The sequence below is a fragment of the Homo sapiens genome, chromosome 6 (genome assembly GCF_000001405.40).
Source record: "Homo sapiens chromosome 6, GRCh38.p14 Primary Assembly".
NCBI lineage: Eukaryota > Metazoa > Chordata > Mammalia > Primates > Hominidae > Homo > Homo sapiens.
Genome location: NC_000006.12, coordinates 116,688,346 through 116,706,691, shown reverse-complemented (window position 1 = coordinate 116,706,691; position 18,346 = coordinate 116,688,346). Strand labels below are relative to the sequence as shown.

The 18,346-nt window shown below is 34.5% G+C and overlaps 1 protein-coding gene across 11 annotated transcripts in view; it reads right to left on the bottom strand.

Annotated features, from left to right (window-relative positions):
- KPNA5 (karyopherin subunit alpha 5) overlaps positions 1-18,346 on the bottom strand; it is a 60,657-nt gene that overhangs the window by 35,176 nt on the left and 7,135 nt on the right. For 8 of the 11 annotated variants that reach the window (NM_001366307.2, NM_001366305.2, NM_001366304.1 and 5 more), the window contains 6 exons: positions 17,239-17,372; positions 14,536-14,637; positions 14,300-14,399; positions 7,894-7,988; positions 4,542-4,673; positions 1,532-1,620 (listed from right to left, as the gene is read on the bottom strand). In NM_001366307.2, the coding sequence (NP_001353236.1) occupies positions 1,532-1,620; positions 4,542-4,673; positions 7,894-7,988; positions 14,300-14,399; positions 14,536-14,637; positions 17,239-17,367 (647 nt within the window). In that variant the 5' untranslated portion in view covers positions 17,368-17,372. Of the gene's footprint in view, positions 1-1,531; positions 1,621-4,541; positions 4,674-7,893; positions 7,989-14,299; positions 14,400-14,535; positions 14,638-17,238; positions 17,373-18,346 lie in introns of those variants that run through there. The other 3 variants (XM_047418751.1, XM_017010841.3, XM_047418752.1) reach the window with 2 other exon arrangements.

The window sequence follows — 18,346 nt, the reverse complement described above, 5'->3', positions numbered from 1 at the left end:
CTGAAATGGAGTTTCGCTCTTGTTGCCCAGGCTGGAGTGCAATGGCATGATCTCAGGTCACCACAACCTCCACCTCCTGGGTACAAGCGATTCTGCTGCCTCAGCCTCTTGAGTAGCTGGGATTACAAGCATGCACCACCACACTCAGCTAATTTTGTATTTTCAGTAGAGACGGGGTTTCTCCATGTTGGTCAGGCTGGTCTCGAACTCCTGACCTCAGGGGATCCACCCGCCTTGGCCTCCCAGGGTGCTGGGATTACAGGCGTGAGCCACCACGCCCAGCCTGAAATTGTTTTTATAACTATTACTACATAGCTGGGTACTGGTTATTCTTCCTTTGTTTTATTTTTTAGTTTGGTTTCAGCCATGGTTAAAAGACTCCTTAGGACATTTAAAGAGATTAGACCTAAGAAATGTTTACTACTTCATAAACCACTACCTACTTGAGATATTAACAAATAATAAAATGACATAGAGACAGAACAACAAAAACAAAAAGTGCTCAGTTAATTTATATACCACATAAATCAGGTGAGACAAGTCTCAAATTGAAACTTTAAGAGATGTTTTTAATAGTACAGACTTCAAAATGATTCATACTGAACTCTAAATCAGTACTTTCTTTTATAGCTCAGCTAAATTCTCAATTACTATGGACCATTAACTTTAAGCCCATAATAAATGAAATTATAGTGAGTAGTTCAGTGGTTTGTACACAGATCTTCGATTAATATTGGTTAAGTGAAACCATGCCAAGAAATAACTTCTGTCCACAGAAAGCTAGAGTAAAATGTTTTTTGAAAACTAGTGTCTAGAAATGTATTCTTCCTATTCAATTCCTCAGCTGGAGAGCATGGAAAACGCACCTCCATGCAGAAATGAAGAGTAAAATATTTACTTCTAGCCATCTCCTCGATTAGTATTTTTCTTCACTACCTGCCATTAGCATTTATCCTACATAAAGATCCTCTTAATCATAAACAATATGTATAAACCTGTATTTCAAAAAATTTTATGTCATTTCTATAAAGGACCTTACATTATAGGGTAATTTCTTTTTTAAAAAAATACGTAAAGTAGTAGAAGAAACTACTAGATAAATCACTTGAAGTAAAACTCTAATCCTGAAAGAAAAATCTCTATCTTAAAATCTTGGTTCTTTTAATAAAATTTAAAACATACTGACATCCTAAATATACTGTCTGTTCAAGTATTAAGGATTCCCTACTATAGCAATATGTAAATTTTATTGTATTATAAACTACTATATATCCTTGTTTTTGCAGAATAATTATTTTAGATCAGTAAGCATCAAGTAAGCAATGACCACTGTTACGTGTGGTTTAAGGGAACATAAAAGACAGAGATAACAATTTGAAAATTTCTCTTGGTTCTACCTGCTGTCAAGCTACTGCAGGCTTGATAACCATAAGACAAATTTACAAGTATGACTGAAGAACTTAATTATGTATGTAGAATATCATGGAGTATATAGTTTTTGATATATACTTAATTGTGATAAAGTACTTACTCTAAAAGAGGTGGAAGTATTTCACAATTCAAAACAAAATCTCTGCATTCTGCATTGTCACCAGCAATATTACCAAGTGCCCAAACAGCCTTAGGAAAAAAAAAAATTATCTTAAGACAATATTTTAAATTAGAGGCTTTCCTTTAGGAATGAGATTTTAGTACACAATGAACAAAGCAACAGTTTCTGATATGTTAAAAAAAAACAGTAGAAAAGAAAAACTTTTAAAATTCAATTTAATATTTTTATTCAAATTGAAAGATAGGACATTTAAAAAGTTTTCCAGCTGAACAAGGTGGCTCACGCGTGTAATCCCAGCACTTTGGCAAGCTGAGGTGGACAGATCGCTTGAGTCTAGGAGTTCAAAACCAGCCTGGGCAACATGGTAAAACTCTGTCTCTACTGAAAAATGACAAAAATTAGCTGGGTGTGGTGGCACGCACCTGTCATCTCAGCTACTTAGGAGGCTAAGGTGGCAGGATCACTTGAGCCCAGGAGGCAGAGGTTGCAAGGAGCCTTGCTCCACCTTGGGCAACAGAGCGAAACCCTGTCTCCAAAAAAAAAAAGTTTTCCTTGCATATTAGTGAAATATCTATACTGTTCAACAAAGAGCATAGTTTACTATGAATTTACATGGAGAGACAAAATACATCTATTTAGCAAATTTTCCAATTATAATCATGCACTGCATAACATTTTAGTCGATGACAGACTGCACATAAGATGGTAGTCTCATAATATTATAACACCATTATCTTTACTGTACCTTTTGCATGTGTAGATACACAAATACTTACCACTGTATATACAATTGTCTATAGTAGGTCGGGTGCAGTGGCTCATGCCTGTAATTCCAGCACTTTGGGAGGTGAGGTGGGCAGATCACTTGAGGTCAGGAGTTTGCGACCAGCCTGGCCAACATGGTGAAACCCCATCTCTACTAAAAATACAAAAACTAGCTGGGTGTGATTGCAGGTGCCTGTAATCCCAGCTATTCAGGAGGCTGAAGCATAAGAACTGCTTGAAACCCAGGAGGTGGTGGTTGCAGTGAGCTGAGATCATGTCACTGCACTGCAGCCTGAGTGACACAGCAAGACTCTGTCTCAAAAAAAAAAAAAATTGCCTACAGCATTTAGTACAGTAACATGCTGTATAGGTTTGTAGACTGGATGCAAAAGGCCATACTATAAACCATCCAGGTTTGTGTAAATAGACTCCATGGAATTTGCACAATGATGAAAATGTATTTCTCAGAACACATATTCATTTATTAAATTTCAATTAGGTAAGAAATTATGCAAATGCAAATTATCATTTTATTTTATTCTCACCATAAACTTTTCATGTTAGTACAAAAGTAGACATGTTACTTTTCAATTGGGAAAGTTTTATTTTAATGTTTAAAACATAAGTTAGTATTTTTAACATCTACTCTAGACCTAAGATTTTTTTGTTTGTTTTTAAGAAAAACCTTTAAACTAAAGATATTTTCTACCTTGTGGAATATAATATTCTGTTGGTGGAGATCTTAATTGGTATAATATTCTTGGAGTCTGACTTTGAAATACATAGTAAGAGCTTTAAAAATTTTATCTTTTGGCCGGGCGCGGTGGCTCACACCTGTAATCCCAGCACTTTGGGAGGCCTAGGTGGGCAGATCACCTGAAGTCAGGAGTTCGAAACCAGCCTGGCCAACATGGTGAAACACCATCTCTATTAGAAATATAAAAACTAGCCGGGCGTGGTGGCAGGCGCCTGTAATCCCAGCTACTCGGAAGGCTGAGGCAGGAGAATCGCTTGAACCTGGAAGGTGGAAGTTGCAGTGAGCCGAGATCGCGCCATTGCATTCCAGCGTGGGGGACGAGAGCAAGACTTCATCTCAAAAAAAAAAAAAAAATTTATCTTTTGACAGGGTACTCATTTTTCCTAGTAAAATAATCAAAAGGTACATAAAGAGTGATGACATATAATGATATTCATCACAATATTATTAACACCACCAATAAGCTAGAAATAATCCAAATGTACAACAATTGAACAGATGGCAAATTATGGTACATATCTGAGCAGATATTGAGTAATCAGTAAAATTTCCATGGAAGAATAATTACTGCCATAAAAAAAGGCTCCCAATATTAGTGTTAACTGAAAAAATATATATAAAATGAAATGATGAATAAAATGGGAGACAGAACAACAGATTTATGTACATAAAAATGATGCAAAAAAATGTTAAATGACTTGATTTTATTTAGATGGTACAATTATATGTAATTAAATTTTACCTCTTACAACAAAACTTTATTCATTAAGTTTATTAAAAAATGGTTCTATTCAAAGTAATGTGATATTCTTAAAACAAACAACAAAATAATCTACATATATGCAGAGAACAAGAAGTCAAACCAGTTCAGCTTTAAAACCCGGCTCTGCCATTCGTTGTGACTTTAGGTAAGTTACTAACTTTTGAGTCTCAGTATACACTTTTTTTTTGAAACAAATCTCGCTCTGTCGCCCAGGCTGGAGTGCAGTGGCATGATCTCGGCTCTCTGCAACCTCTGCCTCCCAGGCTCAAGGAATTCTTGTGCCTCAGCTTCTTGAGGAGCTGTGGCACCACGCCTGGCTAATTTTTGTATTTTTAGCAGAGCTGGGATTTTGCCATGTTGGCCAGGCTGGTCTCAAACTCCTGGCCTCAAGTGATCTGCTTGCCTCAGCTTTCCCAAGTGCTGAGAATACAGGCATGAGCCACCATGCCCAGCCTCAGTATGCACTTTTATAAACAGGAATAGTAATTCCTATGCTAGCTGTGATCACACTCACAGAGAACCCAGGATTATGTCTGGAACTGTTCATTCTTCCTCCCTTCTAACTTAACACCAAAACACTACTACAATTTAATGCAATATACAGCAATTAGAAACAAAAATGAATTACACATCGTAATTACAAATGGTACTTTCAAGAGAAAACTGAATTCTAGTACATACAACAATACAAATTAGAGACGTACCTGTTCCTGAACATCTTCATGTTCAGAATTAAGAAGTTTGATAAAAATCGGAACAGCCCCAGTTTCAATCACTACCTTGGTATGCAGAAAAGTTCCAGATGCTATATTTGTTAATGCCCATGCAGCTTCAAACTAAGAAGAAAAAAAAGGTAAAATAAATGAAAGAACCAAAGAATTGTCAGAAAGGCAAAGAAGGAAAGAGAGGGAGTAAAGACCTGCCAGGACAAGTGTGAAAGACTGACTTATATTAAGATTCATTGTGAAGTCAGATTTAAGGATAAAAACTCATAGAAAAAAAAGTAATTGTCATCAAAGATCACTGATTACAGAAAAGTATTCTTTAATATGGAAAAATAAGAACTGAGAAAAATATAATGAAAATATACAAAATCAACAATATATAAACACCTTTGAATTTATAATGCATAAAACTCCTGTTTATTATTACAGAGGCAAGCATTCTAAAGCAAGCAGTTTAAAAATAAATAAGAGACACTACTTATAACAACAGTATATTTAGGACACTTAGAATCATAAGAGGTACTTATTTCTCTACAGATCATGTAACCTCAACCTACTATTTAAGAAACAAAAAAATTAGAAGTTGAGAGATTAGGTATTTGTTCAACATCAAGCTTTCATTATTAACAGAGCCAGTGCTGGGACTTCTGATATTTTTTTTAAGCTGCAGAGTCTCTGAGAAGTTATCGTATCAACTCAATTAAAATCTGAATATACATATACATTATGGATTTAAAATAAAAGCAACTGAGAAAATTCAACCATGGCTCCAAAACAATGAACTAGTGAATTACTGAAAACAACCTACAAATCCACAGGCAAACTAAGCAGTGAATATAGTTTAAAAAATATTTCACATATTTGACATATAAAATTAACCATGAAAAAAATTTTTTTAATATTTCACATAAATAACTTTTCACGTAAACGTACACGTCATTATAAGTAACAAAAAATGTACCCAAAAGCATTACTGAAATATTAAAAAGTACAGTTACTTTTACGTGTAGGACTAAGAAAAATTTTAAAGGGAATTTATATTTAAAAATAATGGAGACCATAGTTCTAACCAATTGTAGATAATGAAATAAGCTAGTGGACAACTGAAAGGTTACTCTACAAACTTGTCACTAGTATCCCTAGAAGAAAGCCTTAGTGAAGACTGGTAAAGTCAGAAGCCTGCCAGCAACCAATTAAACATAAAACGAGTGATAAGCAAGTGACAACTGTGAAAACCTAGAGTGTGTGGCTACAATTTTAAAAAAAAGGTAAACTTTCCAGTTGAAAAAAGAAAATAGAGACAGAATGCCTATTCAACCTCCTTTCATTTTTAACTATCTGACAACAGTGCCAACACCTCTGATTTGTTAAAAGGAGCCAAAAACCTGGATATTCATTTGAAATCCCCCAATTTTTTAACATGTAATATCTAATTCACGCTTTAAAACATGTTCAGGCCAACAAAACTTGTTTGTAGGCCCCCAATTTAAGGCCTGTTAGATGGACCAATCATATTAACTAACATATTTCACAAGCACTTGGGTAACATGGCACAACATGTAGCTGTCCCAAGACCATACTGTTGAATTTCTATAGTTTTTAATTACAGTGATTAATAAATGCTCAACTTCTCAGTGTGTGTGTGTTTGTTTGTTTGTTTGTTTATTTATTTAGAGACAGGGCCCAGGCTGGAGTGCAGTGGTGTGATCACAGCTCACTATAACTTCAAACGTCTGGGCTCAAGTTATACTCTCACTTCAGCCTCCCAAGTAGATGAGACTACAGGTGCATGCCACCACACTCAGCTAATTTTTATTTTTTTGTAGAGATGAGGTCTCACTATTTTCCCAGGCTGGTCTCAAACGCCTGGGTTCAAGAGGTCCTCCCTCTTCAGCTTCCCAAAGTGCTGGGATTACAGGTGTGAGTCACCACGCCCAGCAAATCTTCCCACACTGTGCTGTCTACACACGCTATCCTCTAAACCTAGCATTAATTTTCCTCTTTTCAGTCTGCCAAACGCTCCTTCATCCTCAAGACTAGTCCTGCAACACTACCTTTGTGAAGTCTTAAACTTAAACTTCCCCTAAACAGAGTAAGTTGCTATGTTCTGTGTCCCCAGAGTACTTTGTTTATAGCTCTGTTAGAGCACTAAGGATATGATGTTACCACAGATCTTTTTTATGTCTGTCTTTCCCAGGAGAAAGTGAGGAATTTCTCTAGACAGGACAACATCTGAATTTTGGAACTACAATATCTTACATGATGCTTTGCTCAAACTAGCTCTCAATAATTTTATTTATTCACATTCAATCATTTCTTCTTTCATTCAATTGGAATTAAAAAGCCAAATAATAGGTATCAAGAGGTCTGGGTTTTAGTCTGGACTTAGGGCTTATATAAAGGAATGGAACCAGATTTCATGATCTCTAGTTCAAAATAATTGACAATAAAACTGTAACATGACTAAAGTAGCCTCTTAGAGACCCTTATTGTAAACATTCTCAACAATTTTTCACATTCACACATGCAATACATTCCTTTACTTACACCTAAAACGTGAGGATCTTTCTCAAATTATTCAGCTAAGTAGACCACTACTCTTAAGTTATAAATTCAACACGTAACAAGTAACAGTCCTCCATTATTGACAATAGCATTTATAAGTTAGGTGTATGTCTTGTGCAATTCCTGATACATAGATAAAATTCCAACCTGTACTCTGACTTAAGAATATGCATAGCAATGAATGTAGGGAAAACCAATCTTTTTTTAACATTAAAATATTCACAAACTTCAGTAAATTTCCATTAGTAGCAAATTATTTGGAAGACATCTTAAAATTGTAACTATATCATGGTTGAGAACCAATGTTCTTTATGACAAACTTACCTCTGGTCACATTTCTACTAGATAATACTAAATAATAATTTATTCTGTTTTGAAAAAAAGAACTAATCAGTCAGCTAACAGTGTTTTAAAAGGTAAAAGTTAGAACCCTGGCTAGCTAAGAATCAAAATAAATTTAACAATATTTTAGTCTGAAGTTTTCTAAAACAAAAAAGTTACTAAAGGTTAACAACTATAAATTGTTTATTAACATTAGTAATGATTTTATATACTTTTTCCAAAATTGCTTAATAAAATAACAATTCCTAGAAAAAAACTAGCACTGAAACCGTGTCCAAGACAAGATAGGCAGCACTACCTTTTCCTTTAATTACCAAGTATTCACTTAATGCTTACAATAGTCAATACTGCAGAAGTTGCTTTCACTAGAAACTTTAACATGTCATTTCTAGAGAAAAATTAAGAAAGAAAACTTTAGACTCACTTGTAAAGTGCAATTTTCATTTCTTTCAAGAAATTTCACAAATCTCTGTACAACTCCTGGTTTCTGTATAACTTGATCTATTGGTGGATTAGGTTCTAAAAATTTAAAAAGACTTCAGTTATTACAAAGACACAAAAAGAAAACAATCTAGTCCCTGTGTCCATTAACAGGGCACATAAAATAACTCTTTCCTAGGTTTCCCTGACCCAAGATTAAAACCCTTAGCTAGATGTAATTGAAGTCAAATTTTCTCCAGATTACAATGTTTTTTGTACATTTTGCAAATTCCGCTTTCTCATTCACTGCAAGAAATTTTAAAAATATTTCCTACATAAACATTTAAATTTCATAAATTGAAGGCTATTGAGCACACCTTTAAAACATTGATTATTTCTGTCTAAAACTCAAAATACCAACTGAGGAATTAAGTTTCCACTAATTCTTTATAGTACTACCCTCAATTTCTAAGCATATCTCCTTCATTATCAACCACAATTTACCTAATGTCTGTCAAACAAGATTCTTTTTTGTCCGTGAATTATTTTTTACAGAAATGTTAACGGACTGTCTACAATTACTGATAAATTTTCATGAAATGCAGACAGCTTTTGAGAATCATAAAATATCTAGGAAGCTTATATAAAATCCAGACAAAGACATTTCAGGTACTGGTCATCTAAGTATAAAGAACTCTTTCCTCTACCTTGGCTTCAGCAAAACGTACCCTCTACGGTTCTTCAGTAACTTCCCTATTGGTGTTCTTTTGGGATAGTCTTATTCCTGTTTATTCTCATCTTAGAAAATGTACCTATTTTTGTTAATGCAAGTACCAGATATTATTACTATTTGTGATAATTCACAGACCTTACAACCTTAACCGAATTCTCCTTTCCTAGATTTCAGACCATATTCCTAAGTGACTATAAGATGCATTTTTATTTTAACACCTTTTAAAATGTATTTTCACACTTCTTTCAAAATGCAGCATACCCAAAATCAAACTCATTATATCATCATGGTTATTCCTTCCCTTGCCCTGCATCCACCACCTAAATTGTATATTACTATGTTATCTATTCATGTAGTCATGAAAAAGAGCATACTCATTTCCACTTCTGATTCTTCCTTTTCTTCTTACTTCCTCTATTTGACTGTGTTACTGATCATAAAGAACTCATATATTAATGTTAACATACTGTGTTTGATGAGTAGGATGAATAAGCAAATGGTGGACATAAAACACCTGTACAAATCATTCTTTTTGATATAGAAAAATGTTTTCATTAAGTTTTAAGTCAGCTCAAATCCTAGAAACCTTGTTCTCAATTGTTAAGAAAGATTTACTTAGAAACAGACTTCCTTCTTCCTTTTCATTTTTCTACAAATTTGCTATTCTTCTAACTTGGACAAAATTTAGAAAATTTCTGCAGTTAGTAAAGTTATACCCATCAAGTTTTGTTTGGGTGTTCTAAATGAAAAGCCCCAATTCTTCAAGATGGAAAACTGAATTCCAGACCCTAACTTATACTGTTATAAAACATCAACAGGATAAAACAGTAAGTATTCTTAATCATTTTACCTTCCATCTTAAAAAAATCAAAACAAAATTATAGGGTTGCAATTATCACCTGCACTTTCTTGTTTTTCCTTTATTTCCAAAGCAAATCATAAATATATTATCCTATTTTGTTTTAAATTTAATGTACAGAAATTTTGTCTTGCTCTTTATGAAAGAGATGAGAGAGAAGGAAGAAAATATAGGGTTTTGTGGTTGGTAGGTAGGGCGAGGTGGTCATTGAGAATGTCAGCTATATATATTAAATATAGATATGATATGATATATACCCCCCCACACACACACATAAGAACCCAAATATAGTTTCTTCCCGGTGAATTAAAAGCAACACATTTATATTTATCTTCATCTAAAAGAAAGCAATTAAAGTGCACTTGGATTGTCAGCTTATCTAACAGGTATCATGAACTACTATTAGTATTATATTGACAGGATGATAGTCTACATAATCTTATAATGGTGATAAACTGCTACCGAGAAGACTTTTAGTCATTATGGCAATAAGTAGTATAGGGGGAATATCTCCTTCAGCACTGAAAACTAAGCAAGAGTCAGGCAAAAGAAAAAAGCTTTGGAGAACTTTCTACAAAACTGGGATTGAAGAAAAGGATGGTTTGTGATTTACATCCACAAGAGTGGCCACGAAAAGGAAATAAATAGAAGATGTAACAAAAGGTCACCGTCGCAGACTTAAGTCAGAGGAGTAAAAGCTGGAGCTAAGATAGGCTGTGCAGTACCCAGGGCATATTCATATCTTCCTAGTGTCTACAGTAAGAACACTAATTACAATAAAGAAATGCCTGCAAAAGAGGCAAAGTTTCCTGTTGTTTCTGCTTCCAGTTCTGGCCTCTAGATGCTTGCTTTCCCATATTTCCTACTTTGACAGATCAAATAAAAATACAGTAAATCTATTATTTTTCTAGGCCTGATAGATGTGGCAGGAACTCACATCAATCAGTGAAAGAAAACATCTATTAACTCCTTGCTGTATGTCCAACTGGGCAAGCATAATTCCATTACAAAGAAGAAACAGAGAACACAATTGTCTCTGTGAAAGATAGTACAGTTTAACGGAAACAGAATACCTTGAGGAATTAGAGTAAATGAGGACAAAGTCTTCTGATCAAAGAATTCGATACCCAGACAACTTGCTCAAAGATATCAGAAATATAGTATTTAGACATATAAAGGCTTAAAAAAATTGTACCAATGCAATTTTCCTAGAATGGGGGTAAGAAAGGGGTAGAAAATTCTTCAAGCAATGCTCTAATAAAAAATGAATCAAGATAAAGAATTCAATAATGAGGAAATGGTACAAAAACACTGGTGGCAAACTCTAAAACTCTTAAATCTAAAGAAATTCTGTTATCAGTATGACATGTATGTCAAAATAAAATCTTTAAGGAATATACTTAAAAAACAATTTAAAAATATTAATCTGACTCAGAAAATAATCCCAATTATAAAAACCAAAACTGTGAAGTATTGTGAGGAAGAAAGAAGCCATTCTTGATTGCAAAAAGGTTTCTTGACATTGCTAAGGTATGTGAGGAACAGAAAATGAAAGTTAAATTTATTTATGAATATAAATTACAGTAAGAAAGCAAAAGTGAAAGCCTTGTAATCTATGCTGACCTGATCACAAGATTACTTTCATTCTTCATGTGTCACTAAACTCTGTCTCCCTTAGGACAATAAGGCAGTTGAGCTAAGGGCGTTTTCAAAACCTTACCCATTCATATATACAATCCCATAAAATTAGAATTACGAGTTCAATAAATTCCATATATGAAACACAAGACAAAGATTTAAATTTTTATTTAAATGAATTCTTATTAACTCAATATAAAATTGGTCAAATAACACAAATAGGCAATTATGTACTATAAAGAACCAATAAATAAGGCAAAATATTCAACCTAATTACAAAAAAAAAGCCAAATAATGAATTACTATTATATAAGCATTTATTTTTTTCTTAAAGATAACTGCGAGGCCAAGCATGGTGGCTCACACCTGTAATCACAGAACTTTGGCAGGCAAACGTGGGAGGAGAGTTTGAGACCAGCCTGGGCAATATGACAAAACCCTGACTCTACTAAAAATTAGCTGGGCGTGGTGATGCATGCCTGTCGTCCTAGCTACTCAGGAAGCTGAAGTAGGAGAATCACCTGAGCCTGGAAAGCAGAGGCTATAGTGAGCTGTGATTCTGCTATTGCACTCCAGTCTGGGTGACGGGAGTGAGATGTTGTCTCAAAAAAAAAGAAAAAGAGAATTGTGAATGTTCATAAAAATAGTAAAATGAATGCTTGTACAAACTGAAGATGGGAGCATAAATTAATACAGTGTATTCCCTTTGACCCCCTACTTCACTTTTATGAATATATATTAAGGAAATTTATATTGCTTAACAATTATTGTAGCATTTTTATGGTAATCTAAAATTGAGAAAAATTTAAATGCCTGATTACATTATTTTGTGATTTTAAATGCCTGATTACATTATTTTATGCTCACACTCTATGATATGATACCATTTAAAAAATCATGTCTGATTGTATATCTAGAAAACCCCATCGTCTCAGCCCAAAATCTCCTTAAGCTGATAAGCAAATTCAGCAAACTCTCAGGATACAAAATCAATGTGCAAAAATCACAAGCATTCTTATACACCAATAACAGACAAACAGAGAGCCAAATCATGAGTGAACTCCCATTCACAATTGCTTCAAAGAGAATAAAATACCTAGGAATCCAACTTACAAGGGATGTGAAGGACCTCTTCAAGGAGAACTACAAACCACTGCTCAATGAAATAAAAGAGGATACAAACAAATGGAAGAACATTCCATGCTTATGGGTAGGAAGAATCAATATCATGAAAATGGCTATACTGCCCAAGATAATTTTTAGATTCAATGCCATCCCCATCAAGCTATTAATGACTTTCTTCACAGAATTGGAAAAAACTACTTTAAAGTTCATATGGAACCAAAAAAGAGCCCGCATTGCCAAGATAATCCTAAGCAAAAAGAACAAAACTGGAGGCATCATGCTACCTGATTTCAAACTATAACACAAGGTTACAGTAACTAAAACAGCATGGTACTGGTACCAAAACAGAGATATAGACCAATGGAACAGAACAGAGCCCTCAGAAATAATGCCACGTATCTACAACTATCTGATCTTTGACAAACCTGACAAAAACAAGAAATGGGGAAAGGATTCCCTATTTAATAAATGGTGCTGGGAAAACTGGCTAGCCATATGTAGAAAGCTGAAACTGGATCCCTTCCTTACACCTTATACAAAAATTAATTCAAGATGGATTAAAGACTTACATGTTAGACCTAAAACCATAAAAACCCTAGAAGAAAACCTAGGCAATACCATTCAGGACATAGGCATGGGCAAGGACTTCATGTCTAAAACACCAAAAGCAATGGCAACAAAAGCCAAAATTGACAAATGGGATCTAATTAAACTAAAGAGCTTCTGCACAGCAAAAGAAACGACCATCAGAGTGAACAGGCAACCTACAAAATGGGAGAAAATTTTTGCAATCTACTCATCTGACAAAGGACTAATATCCAGAATCTACAAAGAACTCAAACAAATTTACAAGAAAAAAACAAACAACCCCATCAACAAGTGGGCGAAGGATATGAACAGACACTTCCCAAAAGAAGACATTCATGCAGCCAAAAGACACATAAAAAAATGCTCATCATCACTGACCATCAGAGAAATGCAAATCAAAACCACAATGAGATACCATCTCACGCCAGTTAGAATGGCGATCATTAAAAAGTTAGGAAACAACAGGTGCTGGAGAGGATGTGGAGAAATAGGAACACTTTTACACTGTTGGTGGGACTGTAAACTAGTTCAACCATGGTGGAAGTCAGTGTGGTGATTCCTCAGGGATCTAGAACTAGAAATACCATTTGACCCAGCCATCCTATTACTGGGTATATACCCAAAGGATTATAAATCATGCTGCTGTAAAGACACATGCACACGTATGTTCATTGCGGCACTATTCACAATAGCAAAGACTTGGAGCCAACCCAAATGTCCAACAATGATAGACTGGATTAAGAAAATGTGGCACATATACACCATGGAACACTATGCAGCCATAAAAAAGGATGAGTTCATGTCCTTTGTAGGGACATGGATGAAGCTGGAAACCATCATTCTCAGAAAATTATTGCAAGGACAAAAAACCAAACACCGCATGTTCTCACTCATAGGTGGGAATTGAACAATGAGAACACATGGACACAGGAAGGGGAACATGACACACCGGGGCCTGTTGTGGGGTGGGAGGAGGGAGGAGGGATAGCATTAGGAGATATAACTAATGTTAAATGACGAGTTAATGGGTGCAGCACACCAACATGGCACACGTATACATATGTAATAAACCTGCACGTTGTGCACATGTACCCTAAAACTTAAAGTATAACAAAAAAATAAAAAATAAATAAATACAAATAAAAATAAAAAATCATGTCTGAAAAATATTTCTACAAGAATTAAAAAATATATATCTCTAACCTTATTTCTTGGCAGCAGGATTAATCTTTTTATATTTGCCTCTTTAACTGCTTTTATATTTTTACGATTTTTCTACAGTCAACATATGTTACTTTGGTAACATCATGTTCAAAAACGGATGTTACTTTACAATATATTTTGCAGAGAATATAACACCTGTGTCTAGCAAAGAAAGGTATTTTAAAATTTAAAAAAAAACAATAAAATAAACCTCTACTAAAAAATCGTGTAATATCAAATAAGCATACTGAAAATAATTCTTGCCTTTAGAAAGCAGCTTTCTAAATTTCTGTGTTGCTGTTAGCTGTTGATCAGCATTATTAGAAAAAATCATCTGAACCATATCTGTAGTAACAACTTCTTCCTAAAACACACACACAAAAATATAATTAACATTTACATATTTTACATGAATAATTTTGCATGCATAAATATTTGTTATACATACTATTGCTAAAATTATTGAGGTATAATTTGAAACATATTTTGGTAAAGTATACCTCTGGAATGGGTACAGTGGAACTAATATCTGGATCCTGTATAGGACTTTCAAGCATAGATTCATCATTTCTGGGCAAATAGACATTTCTGCGTTTGAACAACTGTAATAAAGAGAAATCAGTTTACACATTGAGCTTTCCATAAAACATTAAGTTGCCATAGAATTCCATGTTTTCATTTGAGTGGACAAAAGAAACCTATCAATTTTATAACTTAAAATTCTGAATATTTGAGTATTTCCCAATCATTATACTAGGAAGATCTAAGGTATTTATGAGAAGTCAAATTTCTGGGCTAGCTTTTGGCTGCACAGACTACTTCACGTCACTTTCAATCTCAGATCTTTTACCAACAGTAAGCGTGTAAGTGGAATACACATGGTCATTTTATAGCACTTAAAAAAGCACATATTTACACACTGGATTATGAGGTATCTAAGAATTTTTGCAAGAAAACTTAAAAAGCACATCTGTTGCATATGAAAGATAACATCTGATACATTAACAGATTTAGTATATCTGATTAACAAGGAATAGAAAACAAATCTTAGGAATGACAGTACTATGCTTATTAATTCAGGAGCAGATAAAAATGAAGCAGAAAAAAAGAAGAAAGAAACATGGTGAGTTCACTAAAGGAGATTTATAGGTACAGTTGGCCCTCCATATCTGTGAGTTCCACATTCCCAGATTCAACCAACCTCAGATCAAAAATAATAATAACAATAAAAAATAAGAAGCCAAGCATGGCAGCACGTGCCTCTGGTCTCAGCTACTTGAGAAGCTGAGGTGGGAGGGCTGCACAAGCCCAGGAATTGGAGGGCAACCTGGGCAACACAGCAAGACCCCATCTCTTAAAAATAAACAACAACAACAAAATACGAAAATAAAAAATAATACATATTTTATTTCACTTTATTTTATTTTTTGAGACGGAGTCTCGCTCTGTCTCCAGGACAGAGTGCAGTGGCACAATCTCGGCTCACTGCAACCTCCACCTCCTGGGTTCAAGCGATCCTCCTGCCTAAACCTCCTGAGTAGCTGGGATTATAGGCGTGCGCCACCATGCTCGGCTAATTTTTTTATTTTTAGTAGAGACGGGGTTTCACCATGTTGGTCAGGCTGGTCTCAAACTCCTGACCTCAGGTGACCCGCCCACCTAGGCCTCCCAAAGTGCTGGGATTATAGGCATAAGCCACTGAGCCCGACAATAATACATATTTTAAAACAACACAGTATAACAACTCAACTACACAGCATTTACACTGTATTAGATATTATAAGTAATCTGGAGATGACTCAAAATATACAAGAGGATGTGTGCAGGTAATATGCAAATACCATGCCATTTTACATAAAGGACCTGAGCATCAGTGAATTTTGATATCTGCAGAGGATCCTGGAACCAAGGGATAACTCTACATTTCCTAAATCAAAATTTGAGGAAAACAAAATCTGCTTATATTCTTTTTGACATCTAAATAAATATCGTTCTTCTTTTTTTTTTTTTTTTTGAGATGGAGTCTTACTCTGTCGCCCAGGCTGGAGTGCAGTGGCATCAACTCGGCTCACTGCAAACTCTGCCTCCCGAATTCACGCCATTCTCCTGCCTCAGCCTCCTGAGTAGCTGGGACAACAGGCGCCAGCCACCACGCATGTCTAATTTTTTTGAGATGGGGTTTCACCTTGTTAGCCAGGATGGTCTCAATCTCCTGACCTCGTGATCCGCCCGCCTCAGCCTCCCAAAGTGCTGGGATTAAAGGGGTGAGCCAGGGCTCCCAGCCTGTTCTTCTTTAATATGTAAACAATCTTCCTTCTAATCATTTATTCAACACAATTTTTTTAGTACCTACTATAATGTATGAAGGATTGTGTTAGACGCTGTAGATAGGGAGATGAGAAATCATTATCATATTTCTGAAATAGGCCTTGCCTATTACATGCCTGTAATCCTAGCACTTTGAGAGACAGAGGCAGGAATATTGCTTGAGGCGAGGAGTTCAATACCAGCCTGGGCAACATAGCAGGACCCCATCTCTACTTACAGAATACAATAGAATAGAATACAATAGAAGAGAATAGGCCTTTTCTACTTTCTTCACTGCTAGTCCTTTTCATACATCAGTTTTAATTCACATGTGTGAGAACCACATTATTTTACTTACTTACAAATACTTCTACATTTAAGTACATCTTGGAATAAAAAATGTTGAGATGTACTCTCTTAAACAATTTTATATTCTTTATGTCACATATGAAAAGTATAAACAGAGATCCAGCTAATAAGACAATGGGGGAACAGTATGAATAGCATGGGAAGATGACAATAATTTACTTACGGGCAAGAATTATGAAAACTACAAAGCAGCAAATAATATATAATTAATGTTTCTTTAAGGGGCAAATTTTACAATGACAAATGGAAGTGATCTAAATAGATGCAAGAGGAAAAATTTCCTAGCAGTAGGGTAAAAATATAATTAACACAACAGGTTTATCAATAAAACAGAAAATCCATTTCTCCCAGTGACTAAAGTAGCACAGAGTTCTGTTTCACAAATTTGCAATTATGATGCCTGGAGTCTAATAAATAATAGATTTAGCTATATTCAATTTCTTAAAACATTTCCATTTAAAATTATCCAATAATTAGCAAATAATTAAAATTTTAAAAAACAAAATTAAATAGCTAAAAACACCTACCTGTTCTTCTCTTTTTTGTTTTCTAAGCTGTATTCCTTCTTCTTCTCTTCGTCTACGCATCTCTTGAGGATTTAGGGCTTTATTCTTATAACTTTTCATTCTATAGTTATCTTTCCCTGGACTAGCCATGGCATCTTAAAGGAAGGAGAAAAGAAAACAGACACTGATAACTCACTCTCTCAAAACAACATGAGACACTTAATCTAGCAACTAAATTCAGGCTCACTGATTAACAGGTCAACAAAACCCATTCTGAAAATTATGTACAAAGAATACATTCCCTTAATTCCACATCAAGATTAGAGCAAAATGACCACATATTTTAGAAATAATATCTTAAACAAATAATTTTGGTCTAAACAAAGACAAAGTTTACCCTATCTTATTGATTCTAAGATGCAACAACCTTTCCTGTCTCCCTAGCCCCCACAGTGTTTTAACCTTTCTGAAACATAATTACTGTCAGGAAATAATCATGAATTATTTGGGTTAAAAAAAAAGTCTTCTAAATTACAGTTTCTGGCTAGATCAAGAAATAACCAGCTTTGAAGTATCTTATTTTTAATGAAATATGATATTAGGCTCCAGTAAGCACATCTCAAATATTTATTGGGGTCTGGCTTCTTTCACTTACTGAAGGCATTGCCTTAAGAGCTATGGCCACAAGGGTCAGGACTTGAATTATGACTACAATATCAGTTTTTAGTACTCCAGTATAATTAGTTCTTTTGAAATACTAAAATACATGTATACTTTATTTTTAAGTAGTTTTATTGCAAATGTATTTTAAAACATTAACATTTATATACCTATTTTATAAATACATAAAATATATGCAAATATATTTCATATTTGAATATATGTGCTAGTTTTACTTTTAGAAAGTGAATTATAAACTTTAACAATGTAACAGTATTGATATCTTGATATTATCTTATAGGAATATTAAAATACTGATATTATAACCTATTCTGGACTTACACATCACACACACACAAAATCTGCCTAAAGCAGGGTGCCAACTTCAGTTTAACAGTAGATAGTGAGTACCCAGTATGTTATTCTGTTAAATTCAGAGGACATATCCATGTCCAACCAGAGACAATGT